Source organism: Homo sapiens, chromosome 2 (genome assembly GCF_000001405.40).
Source record: "Homo sapiens chromosome 2, GRCh38.p14 Primary Assembly".
Taxonomy (NCBI): domain Eukaryota; kingdom Metazoa; phylum Chordata; class Mammalia; order Primates; family Hominidae; genus Homo; species Homo sapiens.
Genome location: NC_000002.12, coordinates 170362129 through 170378531, shown reverse-complemented (window position 1 = coordinate 170378531; position 16403 = coordinate 170362129). Strand labels below are relative to the sequence as shown.

Sequence of the window (16403 nt, the reverse complement as noted above, 5' to 3'; positions counted from 1 at the left end):
ATTGTATTAACAAAAAATAACTTTTTAAAAATTTTAACTGCTATTAGTAGCAATGTGTGGCCTCTTTCCATGCTTACAGGTGATCAAATTCTTTAGAAATATTTGCTCCTAAAAGTGAAGTAGGCAATCTAGAAGTGGATGTAGATGCAAGACTTCTCTACTCTGATAAAGACCACTTCGTTTTCTCAACCAGAAAAAATATATATATGTGTAGCACTATTTCTGCCTTCCACAACTAGTGTTCTTTGGAAACTGCTGCCCGCTTAACTTTCCTCCTCTGGCTATGGGGTTTGGAGGGTCTATCGTAGAGAAAAAGCATTATTTATTTCAATTTTTATCTCCTTTAAAAACATTTTCCTAGACTTTGCATAAGCTTATAAAAAGCGTTACGTTGTTTTATATTTCTCTATTTTTAGTTGAAATTAATAAAAATAAACTTGGTTTATTTTTTTAATTTTATTGAGTTAAGTGATTTGTGTCATTAGTAACTATAGATCTTAATTTCCTTTAAATTCACATGCTCCATCTAGTGCCCTACTTGAGAATAGGACCTATTATCAATTTTTGCTGAAGAATTCCTCGTTTAATGTGAAAATTACAGATCTCCAACTAAAAGCTACTTGGATCGAGTATTCCAAAGCTCAGAGGAATGGAGACATAGATAAATGAATGGATAAACAGCAAAAAACATTCTACTAAATCAAAAGTATGTGGTAAGGCACTGTAGTTTTAATGGCTCAGAAGACGTTTTCAAATTCCAGTAAAGTTTATATTGCTTTTCTTAGATTTCCTACTTGTTTTTATGAGTTTGTAAGTATGTTGGCTGCCAAGGCTGGCTTCTCAGACAAACAGAGTTTGCGAGTTGGAGCTTAGAGGGAAAGTCTTGGCTTGGACTGGTTCCTGGAGTTTGCTTTTGGTGTGGCAGTGGAGCGGGAGACTGTGGAGAGCAGGACGGGCCTTAGGTTTCAGGGATCAGGTAAAGGGGAAACTGGTGCCTGAATCCATGGATCAAGTAGGGTGGGAATGAGGGCAAGTCTGTACCATCAAGTCCAAGGAAATGAGTGCAGCGTAAGAATAGAATCTGAAGAACGGGAAAGACAGAGCCAGAGGTAGAGGCTGGGAGTTCCCCTAAGACAACAGTGGGCATAGATGAGGTAGAGGATGGGGGTCTTTGTTCAAATCTTTGGCCCAGCCAATGAGTGGGAAAGGAGCTTTAGAGGACACCAAACTGGTTTAAACACTAGAAGAATTATTCTCATGAAATAAACTCCTAAAGTGTTGCAGCTTTCACTCTAGTTTAATCTCTGTATCTGCATTATGGTTAAAACCATTTCTGTGTCATTGTTCTCTAATATCTCATCACTGGGCCTGCTAGCTTCTTTGTTTGAGCTGCTAGTCCTATGAACTATATTGACAAACATATTTTGCCCAAAAGTGACTCATTAATCAATTAGCCTCTTTCTGTCTGCCAGTTATGCCTATGGAAGTGGAGGCTTCCATGTAGGTAGGTACAAACAGAGCTGCAAGAACTTCACGTAGGTGAGACAGGATACGCTCTTCCTTTCACTCCCCAACTATGATGAAGAACAAGTAATAGAAAAAGGTGCTCTAAATCATAACTCAAACATGAGAAGGAAACAAATTCTTCTAGCTTATCAATTCAGCCTAATAATAATAACAACAAGCAATATACTCCTAAGAAGTTAATCTCTGCACTGAGAAATGCCTGCTGGCTTCTTAGAGAGTCACCCTGTGTCAGCACCATTGTGAAGGTCACCTCTGCCTCTGCTCCTCCACACCCAGGATAAGAACCCTCTCCTCCGTCCAAGAGTGGAACTGCAAAAAGTGGAGAATGACTATCACTGTTACCAGATTCCAGATGGAAAAGGAAGTAAAATTTGTTGCGGATAGAGGCAAAAAAAAAAATAGAGAGAGGGAATAAGGAAAAAGGTGCAGGCTCAAAGATGTCAGTCCTCAAGAATCTAGGACAAAAGCCTCCATGGCCATAGAGAGAACTCAGGGATCACTCCCTTATCACTACATTCAATGGATTCCATACAAGAAAGAAAACATTACTCAAAACTGAGAATAGAGTACTGTTACTACACCAAGGTCAGTGATGTTGAATATTTCTTCTAAATCTTAATTTCCATTCAATATACCCTTTGATAACAGAGCCAATGAAAGAGGGACTTTTATTTTACCGTAACTATATAATAATGGACCTCAAACGAGAAAAACAATAGCAGACCTTTGAGGAATGACATTATTCTACTGAGAGTCAAATATGGACAGAGATAGCAGCTGGATACCTTTAACTACATGAGCTGTATCTTGACCCTGAACTTAAGGCTATGTCTTTCAAACAATACAATGCATAAATTTTAAAATAGGAGAATTGTTTGGGTGGAAATTATTATAGTATCTGCCCATTTTTCATCTAAGCACCGTTTTGGCCAGAATCCCAATAAATCAGCATCTTATCATTAATCATATTAAACAGTATTTGATATACCCAACTTCTCTAAGCGGCAAGAATCAGTAACACCAGCATAAAATTAATATTAACTAACTTACTCATTTGTAGATAGACAGATATAGGTATAGATAGATAGCAGATACTAATTATAGCAAGGTATAGATTTATTTCTTCTGTTAGGAAGATAAAAGGATATTTAACCTCCTGTGTGTTAAGCTTCTTCAGCACTTTATGAAGTAATCTTTCTGGAGTTACTTATTTACATAAGAACCCAATAACCCATTAGTGTATATAATATGGGGTGCTCTGTGTGTGTGTGTGTGTGTGTGTGCATGCATGCACATATTTGAAGGTAGAAGAGGGAGAGAGTGAGCAAGGATTACTGGGGAAAACTAGCAGTTAAATAGTGAGAAATCTGTTTTTAAAGGTCATTGCTGCAGGTTGAAAAGAAATCAAAAGCTGAAGTCATTGTTTTAATCAGCCTCAGGCAAATTGCAAGGGCGACATGACAACCCATTAAACAGAGCAGAAAAAAAAAAAACCCAGCAACTTAATTCTTCTACCAAGTAATACTTAGAACAGACCCTTGGCATTTAGGGTTTAACATCTGTGGTTTCAGCTAGTACCAAGCCACCTGCAGGGGCACGGCATGCTGGATCTTGTAATTTTACTGAGGTTCACGGTTGAGTTCATGGTCGTGGCAGAGACAATCGAGTCCTTTCCCTGCCTCCACTCACATTCCAGAGAGTGGTTTCACTCTTCTCCCAATAACCCTTGTAAAATGATACAAAGCATGTTTTCAATCTACTTCTCTGAACTTTAACAGTGAGATGACATACCAGATGATACTAATGAATTCAGGGATTTGCAAAACTGGTTTGGGGAAGAAGTCGTCTTTTTGCAGATCAAGGAAATAGGTGCTGATATAAAGGAAATGACCAAATAGTTTAAAAACACCTCCAACAGATGAAGTAACAATGTACTTTCAGCCCATTGTTCACATAGTTTTAGGGCTTCTTTAGCCCTTTAGGGCTTACTCCTTTAAAAGAGTAAGACTTGGATTAATAACTGCTCTATTGTACCTGAATCAAATACATGCATTGGCACAATTATAATTTACTGGAAAAACTTAAATTCCAATGATGTCATACATACACTATAATCAGCATCAGGTAATGGTATCTATCAAATCTCAAATAGTACAATATCACTTCTCCACAGGTGCCTCTGCTGTCCTGTATCTATATCTGTAGTGTGTGTGTGTGTGTGTGTGTGTGTGTGTGTGTGTGTGTGTATGTATGCATATATATATATAGAGAGAGTGAAATAGGGATGAATCACATCCTGGCTTTCCAAAAAGCACTCAGAAAAGCCTGAATGGTTAGACCCAGGAGAGGTGAGACAGGGGACTTACAAATTCAAGCCCTCCAAGCACAGTACAGCTTCTGCTCTATGTGAACAAGCCCTCCATGATTCTTAGCCTTGTTTTTGAATACTCTTGAATATGTGCCATAACTGAGATGGATCTGATCTAAGAGTTCCTCAACCTGTCAACACTTAAAAAACATTTCTTTCTATTCCACCGAAGTTGCCCACAAGCTCAGCTATCCTTAGTTCCTAATTATCTATCAAAAGTTCCTAGGATCTCAGTTCTACAATCCCTTTTCTCATCATCCCCTCACTGAATCTGCTCTTCATCTTTGTTGTAATAGCCAGTCCCAGGACTAGATCAGCCTCAAAGTCAATAAGCCAGTCTGGTGTCACTTTCTTCCCTACCCACAAAGATCCCAAGGCCACTCTTCTACTAACCTCGATTCCCTTGCTTCCTTGCCCACTCATCATGTCCACTGAAGTCAGTCTCTAGCCTGAAGAAGACCATAATGTCTGCTTTCTCTACTCCTAACTCCTTGCTGCTAAGAGTTAATTGAGATGACAGATGAGAAAGGCGGCAGTGGTGATGGTGCATTTTCTGAGAGTTTCTAGTGCCAAGTGTCCTGAATGCTCTACATGCATTATCTTAGACACTGATTAACTTCACTACAATAGGATGCTATTCAGTTGCATTCTACCTGGGTTTTCTATGCTATTAAGCAATCATGATGTCGATCTTTAACTGACCCTTTATCATATTCCTCATAGTGAATATCTCAAAGATTTAACGATTCCCTGGAGTCCACAATCCACTCCCAACTCTGAAACCTTGCTAAGTTTTTTTTTTTTTTTTAAAGGCCATTCAACATGAATTTCCTCACAATGCCTCCTCTCCTAAGTTTTCTGAGTACTTTTATCTAACCTTTCTGTGTCTTTCCCAACTTAGAGTTTCTCTCTTTCTAAAGTCAACCTCCCTTTTAGGCCCCTGACCCACTCCCTCTTGCTTCCTCCATTGCTTCCTCTCTCTTCTGTCTTCGTTGTCTCCCTCTCTATATATATCCTTCCCCTTTACCTGTCCAAGTGTTCCCCCATCCTTTAAGAACTTGCATTCTTCCCTGCATCCTGCTCAAACTACCAACTTCTCTCTCCCCTGGGAAAAGTACTAAAGTGGACTGAACGTTCCTTACCTTTGCAGGAATGGTAAGAAAGTTTTCCCTGTAGATTATAGGTTTCATTACTCTGTATCAGCTCTCAAATCCAAAAAGAGTTGCTACAGCTGGAGGGCCCAGGACTGCCTAGACCATTGAAGAACTCTCTTTTGGGCAGAAAGCTGGAAGCTTTGTGTAATATCTGGAAGTACTTGGCATTGCATTTGATAGACTATGAAGACGTGTCTTGCAATTTCTACATGATTGCATTGTGAACCAGGCCAGGGAGGCAGCCCAGTTTGGGTAGGCCCCAACACACTTCTCTGTTTCCCTAATCTCCCTCAATCAATCCATCACTAAGTCCTGACAATATCATTATTTTAATATCTTCTGCCATTTGTAATTACTATGATCTGCTCACTAGTTCCCTGGCTGCAGCCTTACCCTGCTTCATTCTCCATACTGCAATCAGAACAACTTTCTGGAACTCTTCAATGGCTCCCTAGCACCTAAGAAACAAATTCAAGCTCCTTAGGCCCATGGTGACGTGGCTCCTGTCTACCTTGTCTCTCCCTCCCACCTACCCCATGCCAAGCTCCAGCCATGTCAACTAATTGTTCACCAGATTCCCCAAGCTCTCTCTAGCCCTTGTGCCTTGCCCTTTGCTCATTGCTCTTTCTTTCCCCTCTACCCCGAATAACCCCCTTTCCTTGACTATCTTTGATTTGTTCTTCAGGGCAGTTCAAGGATCATCTACCCAGCAGCTCCAGGGCATCTTCCCCTACCATCCCAACCCCAGACTGACTTAGGTGTCTTTACCAGGTGCTCTGAGAGGTATCCCAGGCATTCCTTTATCTAGGTACTTTTCATTTTGAACTGTTCTCACCTGATTCTTGTCTCTATCACACACCAGACTATTAGCTCTTTATCAGGAACTGCATCTGATTTGCCTTTGTAGTCCCTCTGTTCAGCATAGGGCCTGACACATACACATGTATAAATGCCTCTTGAATGAATAAATTAGATATTGAATAAGAGATAAAATGGGATATTTTAAACATTCAGTACCTCAGTAGTGTTTATTTTCATGATCTTGTACAGTAAGTAAAAAGATGAATTTGCACAGATTATGGGCAAGAGGTAGTTAGTGTTAAAAAGAAATGAAAGACTCAGAATTAAATAGACCTTGTACACTACTTCTACTACTAACATTTATGGAGGTTGCATTATTCTAAGCATTTTACATGTATTGACTCACTTAACCCTCAAAATAACCCCCGTTTTATAGAAGAAACTTTGGAAGAGAAAGATTAAAAACTTATCCAGTTAGTGGCTGGCCTGAGATCCAAACCTGGCAGAGCAATAGATTTTTTTCTTTGTTGTTGTTGTTTTTTTTTTTTTTTTTTTTTTTTTTTGAGACAGGGTCTCACTCTGTTGCCCAGGCTGGAATGCAGTGGTGCAATCACAGTTTGCTGCAGCCTCAAACTCCTGGGCTCAAGTGATCCTGCCATGTCAGCCTCCGGGGACTACAGGCATGTGCCACCATGCACGGCTAATTTTTCTTTTATTTTTTATTATTTATTTAATTTTTTTAGTAGAGATGAGGTCTTGCTATAGTGACCAGCCTGGTCTCAAACTCCTGGGCTCAAGTGATCCTCCTATCTCAGCCTCCCAACGTGCTGGGATTACACGTGTGAGCCACCACACCCTGCCAAGCCAGTGGTTTTAATCACCACATTGCACTGCCTGCCGGGTGGCCATAACTGTGCAGAAAAATGATGAGCGGGTAATTAGGCCTCAATCATCTATATACTCACCTCAATTTTTCTGTTTTTTTTTTTTTCTGCTTTAACTTGAAAAACCACAGCTTTAAATATATTGATTTATCAGCATGGAATGATATTTGAGAGTTTTTCCTGGTGGGCTGAAAAACATCTATGTAGCCAGCTCCTTGCCAGTTGCTAAGAGGAAGTAATAGTACAAGAGAGGTGGCAGGTTAAGTGTCAATTACGTGCACTGTGTTTCCTTTGGAATTAATTTTCCCACATCCTAAGGAAGTGTCTGTTTAAAGTGTTGATACCTATTTGTGAGGTTGTATTTTTTTTTAATGATAGTTCAAAGAAACACAAACCACTGAGTGAAACTCAAGATTACAAAGACCCTGTGAGAAGCCTTTGCCACCACATGAGGCTTCTGACATCAAAGGAGTTAACAAAGATAAAGAGAAATTAGAGAAAGGGGATGAGAGAGGCTGGTGTTACAATTTTCTATGGTAAAAGAAGAAAGGTTTTGGTTTTTTTTTTTTTTTTTTTTTTTTAGACACTGTCTTGCTCTGTCGCCCAGGCTGGAGTGCAGTGGCGCGATCTCAGCTCACTGCAACTTCCGCCTCCCAGGTTTAAGCAATTCTCCTGCCTCAGCCTCCCGAGCAGCTGGGATTACAGGTGCCTGCCACTATGCCCAGCTAATTTTCTGTATTTTTAGTAGAGACAGGGTGTCACCATGTTGGCCAGGCTGTTCTCAAACTCCTGACCTTGTGATTCATCCACCTCGGCCTCCCAAAGTGCTGGGATTACAGGCGTGAGCCACCGCACCTGGCCTGTTCTTTTTCTTTTTGAAAAAAAAAGAAAAAAAAAGAGAGAGAGAGAGAGAGCATAGATCTGGACAGGCAAAGTCAGGCAAATATGAAAATCCAGATAGCTTGGCAAATGAAGTCTTAGAAATCATTCCATGGCAAATCCTAGAACAGGGAGACAAGGAGGAGATGCTGGATTTGACTCATACCCTTTAGATGTTGGGTTTGTTTTTTGCTTGGTTTGTATTTTCTTTTACTTCGTCTTCATTTTTGGTGGTGGTGGTGCTGTGTGTGTGTGTGTGTGTGTGTGTGTGTGTGTGTGTGTGTGTGTGTGTGTAGGTGGGTGGTAGGGGTGGTGGCTGGTGTATAGGAACCAAAACAAGGAAGAAAAGAGATTTCAGCTCCCTGGGGCTTAAACACAAGTTCCTGCTGCTTCAAAAAGACCCCAAGTCACAAGAATTTCTCTGCATTTCTCTACTCTGTAGGGAGGCCATAGAAACAGAAAAGGCAGTGGAAAAAGGAAACAAGTAGGAAAAAAAATCCCCTCTGAGCTATCCAAAAGGGAACCTGGTGGAGAAAAATCAGCAAAATATAGTCACCTTGATACTACGCCTCCAGCTCCAAGAGTTTGGATGCCAATGTTTGGCTTTTTGATTAGTAAACAGTTTTCTGCAGAATACATGAATATTTCCAGAACTTGTAACTTATGATATTTTATTTTCTTCACCTCCAGTACTTCCAATGTTCTTTTAATAATAATGGACTGGAGCTTATCTACATCCTGGATGGTTTCATAAAACCAAATAATTGCTGAGCATAGGAAGCAGGTTTATTTGCATTTAATTTTTTTTAAAGAGAAATTCTGCCACCCTCTGGACAGAAATTGAAGATCTATTTCTTAGAGATTTACCAGGGAATACTGTTTAAAGCACTTGCCCCTGAAAATAAACATTTGTATAAAAATCTACCTTCTAAAAAAAAAGAGGATGAGGTAGGGTAGGAATCACAGTTGCTTTAGATAGCATAAGAAATACCTGAAAAATGTTACTTAAAAATACCAAATCGACTCTAAAGAGTTTGAAACTAAAGAGAAAATGGTCTCAGAGCACATTAGAGAAACAGCCTTCGGTGTTTAGCTCATAATCTTTCCAAAATCACTTTACAGCCTGCATTACTGCTCTTCAGTCTACAATGGCCAAGTAAAGGTGTTTCACACAATGTCAGCCATGGTTGCTTTCATACGGTTACCTCTATTGGTAAAAAAAAAAAAAAAAAATCCAAATTTCTGTTAAATGTAAATATATATATTTGTTGATTTTTTAACTAAAGCTAACTGAACACCAGGGCAGAGTAAGATTTCAGCCACTTGAGAGAAATTGGCCATAAGAGCACAAATGGGCAGTTTGTTTCTGAAGTTCTCCTGCTCTCATCCACTGGGCATGGAGTACTTAATGTCATGTAAATAAAACTCTTAAAAATGCAGGAATGTAATAACTACCAGTAATAATGCTGGGCAAATCAAAACACATGACATGACATTTTTATAAACAACCACAGGGAGAAAGAAGAAAGAGAGTACAGTACCTGGTTTTAGCAACAGGATTTTGATGCTTCTGGTCTTGGAGAACCTTGGCCAGCTGTTTTTGCAGAAACAGAACTTTTCCATGTACTCCTTTAATAAATGGGTGGTCAAGGAGATGTGTGACGGAAGGTCGCCTTTCAAAATCCTTAATAAGACACCTGTTTGCAAAAACCAACAAACAATCCAAAGTACAATCTTAGACACCCTGTTCCCCTATGAATATGGGAGATGGAGAGAAGGTAAAAGCTCATTTATAAAACCTGATCATTGGTTAATGATACACAGCTCTCTCTTTAATTAATATGTACCAGAAAACAGAAAAATAGTAATTCTCTATTAGTTGAATTAATTAAAACATCAGAAATCTGTCTTCGTTTGTTTTAAGCAAAGTTGAAAACACAATTTGTACCATCAACTTGAAGTACTCAAAACACTAAAAATATAGACTGCTCAATTTTCTATCCGCATTTTCATTAGAGAAAAATATTTTCAGTGGAGTCAAGTTGATTTGTATGTATACTTTCTTTTAGAAATACGTAGAATTAAATACTATCACCTCAATTAAATCCTAATATATGAAATGCCCCTTGTTTACCGGCAGGGAAAAGGCATCTAGGTGTTAAAAGGAAAAAAACTAATCATAAAGAAACCTTCACAGAAACGCTGGCGCTTGATTTCTAATGTCTTCTGAAGAACCAGAAAAACCACAGAACAGGAAGTGAGTACAATATAATTCAGATGAATTGGAATAGAATTATACAAACAGGGAACAAAAAGTCCATTCGAAATGATAAAAATTGGGTTGCATTTAAACTCTTCTGTGGTTAATTGGTTAAAATCATACCGGCATAACTACTTTCTGTTTTAGATTCAAAATCCTTTTCAAAGCAATGATTCAGTACATTTTGCTGCACCTTCTGTGTTATTCAAGATGATTTGGATACAGGGAAATTTCTAGTGAAATTGAATCTGACGAATATCCCTCCAACTGCCATCACATTTCTATTCTGCGTACCTGCCCTTGGCGAGAGGAAGAAATTTTAACATCTACCCTTTTAAGCCACTTGTCCTTAAGCCCACATTGGAGGCTTAGGATAAATGGATGCCATTCTGCCCAATCCATGAAATAAACGTCTTTAGTTTTCTCAACAGTGGAATGCCAGCAGCATCTAACATACAACGTATTTTTAATGAAATTCACTGACAAATGTTAAAAAACTTCAGCCTCACCTTGAACATCTTTTCAAAACACTTAAGCAGAGTTCTTGAAACAATCCTCAAAAGTTAAATTTACAAAAAAGCTTTGGTTTCTGCAGTTTTCAGTTCAAAACACTTTCATATCCCTTACCTTCTAGTCCTGAAAAGATATTCGGTAAATCTCCCAGTTACTCCATTTTATAATTGATTCAGGGGATTCCCTATCTATTGGAACTGGAGCTTTCAGCCAGAAAAGCCAACGGAACCTAAATTATCTCCATTCAGCTGCTTGCAGGACTATAAATACCACCTCTGCCTTGCCATGGGAAGAAATACATCATTTGACTTTTATAGGTTCAGGGCTTTTTGTATAATCTATTATTTTTCTGTGAAAAATAAAAAATCAGTGCATATGCTTTAAGAAGACTGTGTTCATGTCTTTACATCAGCAATCTTCCCTTGATTCCTTGTATATTCATCTCTATATGTAACTATCAAAGTTAATATGCTTAGATATTATGCAAAAATGCTAATAACCATGTTTCCTGAAAAAAGAGGGAACCCAAGAGGTAGTTATACTGTCAGTAACATAGGTGTATGGCCCAGTCCTCCTAGCATTAGGAATAGTGTATAAAAACTCCTAAGATAAACATAGCCCCTATGTCCTCTGAGAGTTCCTACTGAAGATGCACCCGGTAGTTGTGCACACCCCCAGGAACCTCAGAGGGAACGGGTAGGATGGGAGTCCAGGAACTGCTGGATCTGAAGCTAAGCCTGCTTACTGATTTCTTAATAAGTCACATTATGTCTGTTTCTCATCACCAAATAGGCATATCAGTATTGAAGTATTTCCCAAACATGGGGAGAGAAATTTCTTGTTTCCTCACATAATATTCATCCCACCCATCCGTCACCCTCCCCACATTTTTGTTTTGGCTTTCTTCCTGTGTTAATTGTTGAAGCGTCATCTGACTACCAGGAAATGCTCATTGAAAAGAAAGAATGAACAAAAGGACCAGGGGTCCCTCAATAGCCTGTTGACTAGTGGCAACACTTCAAATTAGTAAACACAGGGGCAGAGACTGAAGGTGGAAGGAGGCAATTCACAAAAAATTCATAGCATGTGAAGGGGAAAGTGAGCTGGAGCTGCCTCTCTACCTTCCTCCTTAATATAGGTACCTCAGGGCAGTGTTCCAGGTGAGGCCTGAAAACAAGGTCCTTTGGGTACTTCAGTAAGTAAAGCTCCTTGAACAGGGATTGAGAAAGACTAGGAAACCCATACTCCATCCAGCCTTATGAAAAGATGCCTCCACTGGAGTCTAGGGACCACAATTAAAGGTGGTATAGCTTGTTTCACAATGTTAGCATCCACTGGAGAAGCAAGGCTTCCAACACGGTCGCAAGATCATTTGATATGTTAGAGAGGGTCCCTCTCTAGATTATGGAGGAATAAAAGAAATGAATGAATAATGAAGTCAGAGAATTAGACAAAGAAGAAACTAACGAGTAAATCTGTTATTTCTTGAAGATCCAAAAAATGAAGATAGTAGGCATTCTACTTTCTGGAAGCAATGATCAAGAAGATCTGTTGGCCAGGCGTGGTGGCTCATGCCCATAATCCCAACACTTTGGGAGCCCAGATAGGAGGATTTCTTGAGCCCAGGAGTTCAAGAGAAGCCTGAGCAACATAGTGAGACCTCATCTCTACTAAAAATAATTTAAAAATTAGCAGAGCACACCTGTAGTCCCAGCTACTTGGGAGGCTGAGGCAGGAGGATCACTTGAGCCCAGGAGTTTGAGATTGCAGTGAGCTATGATCCCACCACTACACTCCAGTCTGGCAACAGAGTGAGACCCTGTCTCAAAAAAACAAAAACAAAAAACAAACAAAAAAAAGTGCTTTCTTAGTTCTCCAAGTAAGAAAGAAAGACTGAAGTGGGTTGAATGTCTGCGTGATAAACCCCTATTAACTTCAGTAGGGATGGCACCAAGTTCAAGAGGCTGAAGGAGAGACCCAGAGCCAACAAATGAGATATAGGGTTTTATTAGGAGAAACTTACATACAGGGATGATGCAGTAGCCATGTGCTGGACAGAAGAACCACCACTGCATGCAAAAAGCATGCAGTTTATATAGCATTTTCACTTCACTCCCTCCTCCTAACAACCTCCACCTGGCAACCTTCATTTAACGCAAAACAAAGAGCCTCACTCCCCTGTATGCTGATGTTCCACAGGAAGGGCCCAGAGCTCAGATGTTCCTCACAGACAAGGAATTTATCTCTGGGTTGGGCACGCTCTGAACTCCAAACACATATTCAGGTGCAACTGCCATACAGGATCATCCTCAGGGTATGCTCAAGTTAAATTATTGCTGTCGGGTGTGTCTACCATATACCATCATACCACAGGATCAGCACAACTGAACCTGAGTGTAAAGAGGAAGAAGGCTAAGCAGAGTTGTGACTCTCCAACTGCATTGGAGGATTTTTAGGGAAAGGGCATGAAGAACTTGAAGGTATAGCTTTATTCTAAAATACTCCTCTCTATATTTTTTTCTCATGGGGAGCAAAGAGCCAGTCTGAAATGGAACTATTATTTTACAGATAAATAGAGGAAAGTTATGCCTTAAGAGCAGATAGAAAGTCCTGCGTTACTGGATATGAGGGCATAGCATCATATCGTTTACTCAGCAAACATTTATTACTCAGCACTAGAACTAGCCACAATACATAAATTAATTAAAAGCTATGACCCTTTTCCTCAAGGATCTACAATCTAATTGGAAAGACAGAAGGACAAGAGAAGCACAAGAAACAGCAAAAGCCATATGTTTGCTTCTATCTTTAGGATAAGAAATAATAGCACAAAAGCATAGGGTTTCAGAGCCACAGGGACTGAGATTTTCGATTCTAGCCCCTCTTTTAAGAGGTGAGGAAATGGGATCAAGTCCTGGCAATGATGAGGTCAATTCCTCAACTCCCACAGGAGGACCCTTCCTGCTTTGTTCCGTGTTGTTAAAAATGACAAAGGTACAACGTACGAAACAATACTTCGCGGCCAGAGGGAAGAACTGTAGTCAGGGAAGACTTCCTGGAGCTGGTAAGAATTGAGCTAGGTAAGTCTTGGGGGAAGTTTTGGAACTAAATTGAACTAAACTGGGGGAGTAAAGGCAGAAGTCATACTGGGGAGCCAGACCGGCAATGCAAGAAGCAGACTAGACAAGCTGCAAAGCCAGTAAGTCAGGAGGCCACCAGAACACTGACCTTCACCTCCTAAGCTGCTTCTTTTGAATGCCTAACAACAGTTACTGCCTTTAGTCCCTTTACCAACTTTAACTAAGGTATAATTGTTGTTGCTTAAGACTTTGTAGTTTGGTGCCCAGAATTCTTACTGTTTAAGTTTGTCGGCTTGTCATTTCTATCCCTGGTCAGCAGAGATTTAGTGGATGAAGATGAAACTGACAGCTGGGATTCCTAAAACTCCTGATAGCCTCCATGTCCTTTTATAAAGCAAGATAGAATCCTTTAACCTGATTTGGAGAACAAACAAGTAGAACTAAAGGAGTTCTAAGAAACGTATTCATTTCAGGTATTGCTTATTAAACCAGGAATTGCAAATTCCAAAAGAAGACTATCTTCCCCCAGCCAGGGACTGAGCAGTTTTTACAAAAGGATGCATAAAATGTTAAACTCTGTATGGGATTGGGGGCCAGCCAACATGAGGTGAATTAGGGGAAGCACTAGACACATAAAGCATTCCATCAAAAAAAGAAGCTAGTTTCCTAGTCAAAAGAGTTTGGAAAACATTGGTGATTCTCTAAACCAAGTAAGTTTGGAGTTTTGTAATGCACACAAGCCTATTAAAGGTTCTTACAAGAGCTAGGGTTAAAAAAAAGTTTAATTCTATTTGAGCCCACGTTTCCAAGCTTACTTAGCCACAGAGACCTTTTTGTTTGTTTGTTTGGGCCCCACAAATGATATCCTTGGAAGTTCTGTTGTAAGCAATTAGTCGCATGATTTTAGAATGGACACCAGAGTCCTCAACTCAGTGGACTGAGGGGACACTGTAAGAACTCTTAATAATTGCCACATCTCAGACACTCTGGAGGGCTATTGTTTCTGCAAAAGACAGTGTTTCAACCTGGGGAGATATTTTCCTGAGCTCAGTTCTTTCCAGAGTCCTTTATTCTAGAAAACAAGTAGCAAGGACTAGATTTAGATACACTACTTTTCCCCAAATCATAAGTAATTCTTTCTTTCATTCATTCCTGGATTTTTTAATCTTTTTTAAAAAATTAGGATTTAGATATGCTTTCTCTGTGCTAACAGACAAAACAACAGAATAACAATTTATTTATACCATGAGATATATGCAAGAGACTCTGGAAATAAGGCCATGATGGGTGGTTTTGAATATGATAGAAAAGTCCACCAGAAGATAAAGGAAGCAAATTTCAGCCTTGAAGGAAATCAATCCACTATCTAATTTGAAATTCTAGTACCTTCCATCATGCTTTCTTGGCTGAAGATTAATTCTCAGAATCTATTAGTGTCACCACATTAAACACAGGTTGTTGCAGCCATTTGCAGCAATCTCCCAGTCTGGCTTCTGCCAAAAACAGGCAAAAACGGGACATTTCTTAGCAAGAAACAAGGTCGGGCTCTCAAGCTGGTGGTGTCTGTGCACTCTCTGCTCCAAGACAATAATGCTGTCGTGACACAGCTACTCTGTGCCTGTAAACTGCCATTTCATAACCAAAAAACCGGATGCCTGCAAGGGGGAGCTATTTGTCAAGAGCCTCTGACTGTTGTTTACCAATGAATAAAACACTTGATATAGAGCAGCTGAAAAGGCAAAAACTAAAAATACTAGTAAACTGGGTAAGAAAAGCATGAGGGTGAGCAATGTATTCCATACATTGGGGCAAAACTAGATCAAAACTCAGGATTTATGACTCTTCTCATTTCTTTATAAATATTCTGTCTTTTATACTTCCTGCTATTTTCTTGCAGGCCTGCTACTTGAATTGTTATGTGTTCCCATTGCTACAGAAGATCTAAACATTTTGGATCTGAGCAAGCATTTCCCTGCCGTGTGATTCACTGTGCTGCCCTGTGGTTGCTATCATCGTCAAACAGAAGGCTGACTGACAAAGAGGCCTCTAAATCAAGGGGAGAAAATCCTCCAGAGGATACACTAATTATAGGTTAAATATCAGAGCACACAGTATTCTGCCTTGGAAGAAAATTTCCATTCTGCAAGACAAGACTATGACAAACAGGCATTTTCTCAAAATGACTAATGCCTCAAAAGAAGGCAGAATGAGAAACTTGATGCTGTGTATGGTATTTCTGTGAAACATCACCCCCCTGTTTGGTGGAATATTTAACTGCATTTCAGTTTTCCTGAAGTCTGAATATCACATTTGATGCTGTTGCAAAGTCTCACTGGTGAGAACTGAAATTGCATGCTAACTTCACATTTGGGGTGGGGAAGTGGGGTCCTCCCCTGAAACAGGTAAATGAGAACTGGGAGTGCATTACTCAGTTAGGCAGGTCTATGGTTATCAATCAGAGGAGAATAGTCAGTATTTGCTAAAAGACAAAAATCCCCAAGAAGGTAGGATGGAGAGCTTTTGAACAGGAAGCTGAGTCTCCCTTTGAAATGAGTAACGGGAATAGAGTCTGTGTAAAAAGCAAGAGACCACATGGCTACTGGACGACAGGGCAGCTGCCATCTTGCCAGAGATCCTGGGGCAAGGTTGGAAAGATAAACAAGTGAGCCTGATCTTTAGACAAAGCTGTCAGCACCAAAGGTCCACAGTAAGCTCAAGTGAAGGTAGGACGGAAATGGAAAGGGAAGAACATTGCATTTCCTGAAGCCTGACACTGGGCAGGAAACTTGGGGATAAAGAACATCTACTTTTCTCACCCAGAGAAGACTCAAAGAAAGTAAAGAAGGTGACAAAAGAAAACATATAGGGTGGTGGTTTGAAGCCAAAATATCACATCTCTGAGCAAATGGGACAGAATCTACCTCTAGAGTTAAGACG

General features: G+C 39.8%; 1 protein-coding gene across 11 annotated transcripts in view, besides 1 other annotated feature; it reads right to left on the bottom strand.

The window, feature by feature from the left end:
- Positions 1 to 16403, bottom strand: part of MYO3B (myosin IIIB) — a 477021-nt gene that overhangs the window by 276636 nt on the left and 183982 nt on the right. For 10 of the 11 annotated variants that reach the window (NR_045682.2, NR_045683.2, NR_045684.2 and 7 more), the window contains one exon: positions 9155 to 9310. Coding sequence is in view for 6 of the 11 variants with exons in the window: in NM_138995.5 (NP_620482.3) it covers positions 9155 to 9310 (156 nt within the window). In the remaining 5 variants the exon portion in view is untranslated. Of the gene's footprint in view, positions 1 to 6815; positions 6960 to 9154; positions 9311 to 16403 lie in introns of all 11 variants that reach the window. The other variant, XM_011510656.4, reaches the window with a different exon arrangement.
- Positions 15339 to 15633: an enhancer, noted in NCBI's record as "tiled region #12446; K562 Activating DNase matched - State 5:Enh". NCBI's record gives its function as "activates a minimal TATA promoter and a strong SV40 promoter by Sharpr-MPRA in K562 cells {active_cell/tissue: K562}" and the evidence as "EXISTENCE:reporter gene assay evidence [ECO:0000049][PMID:27701403]".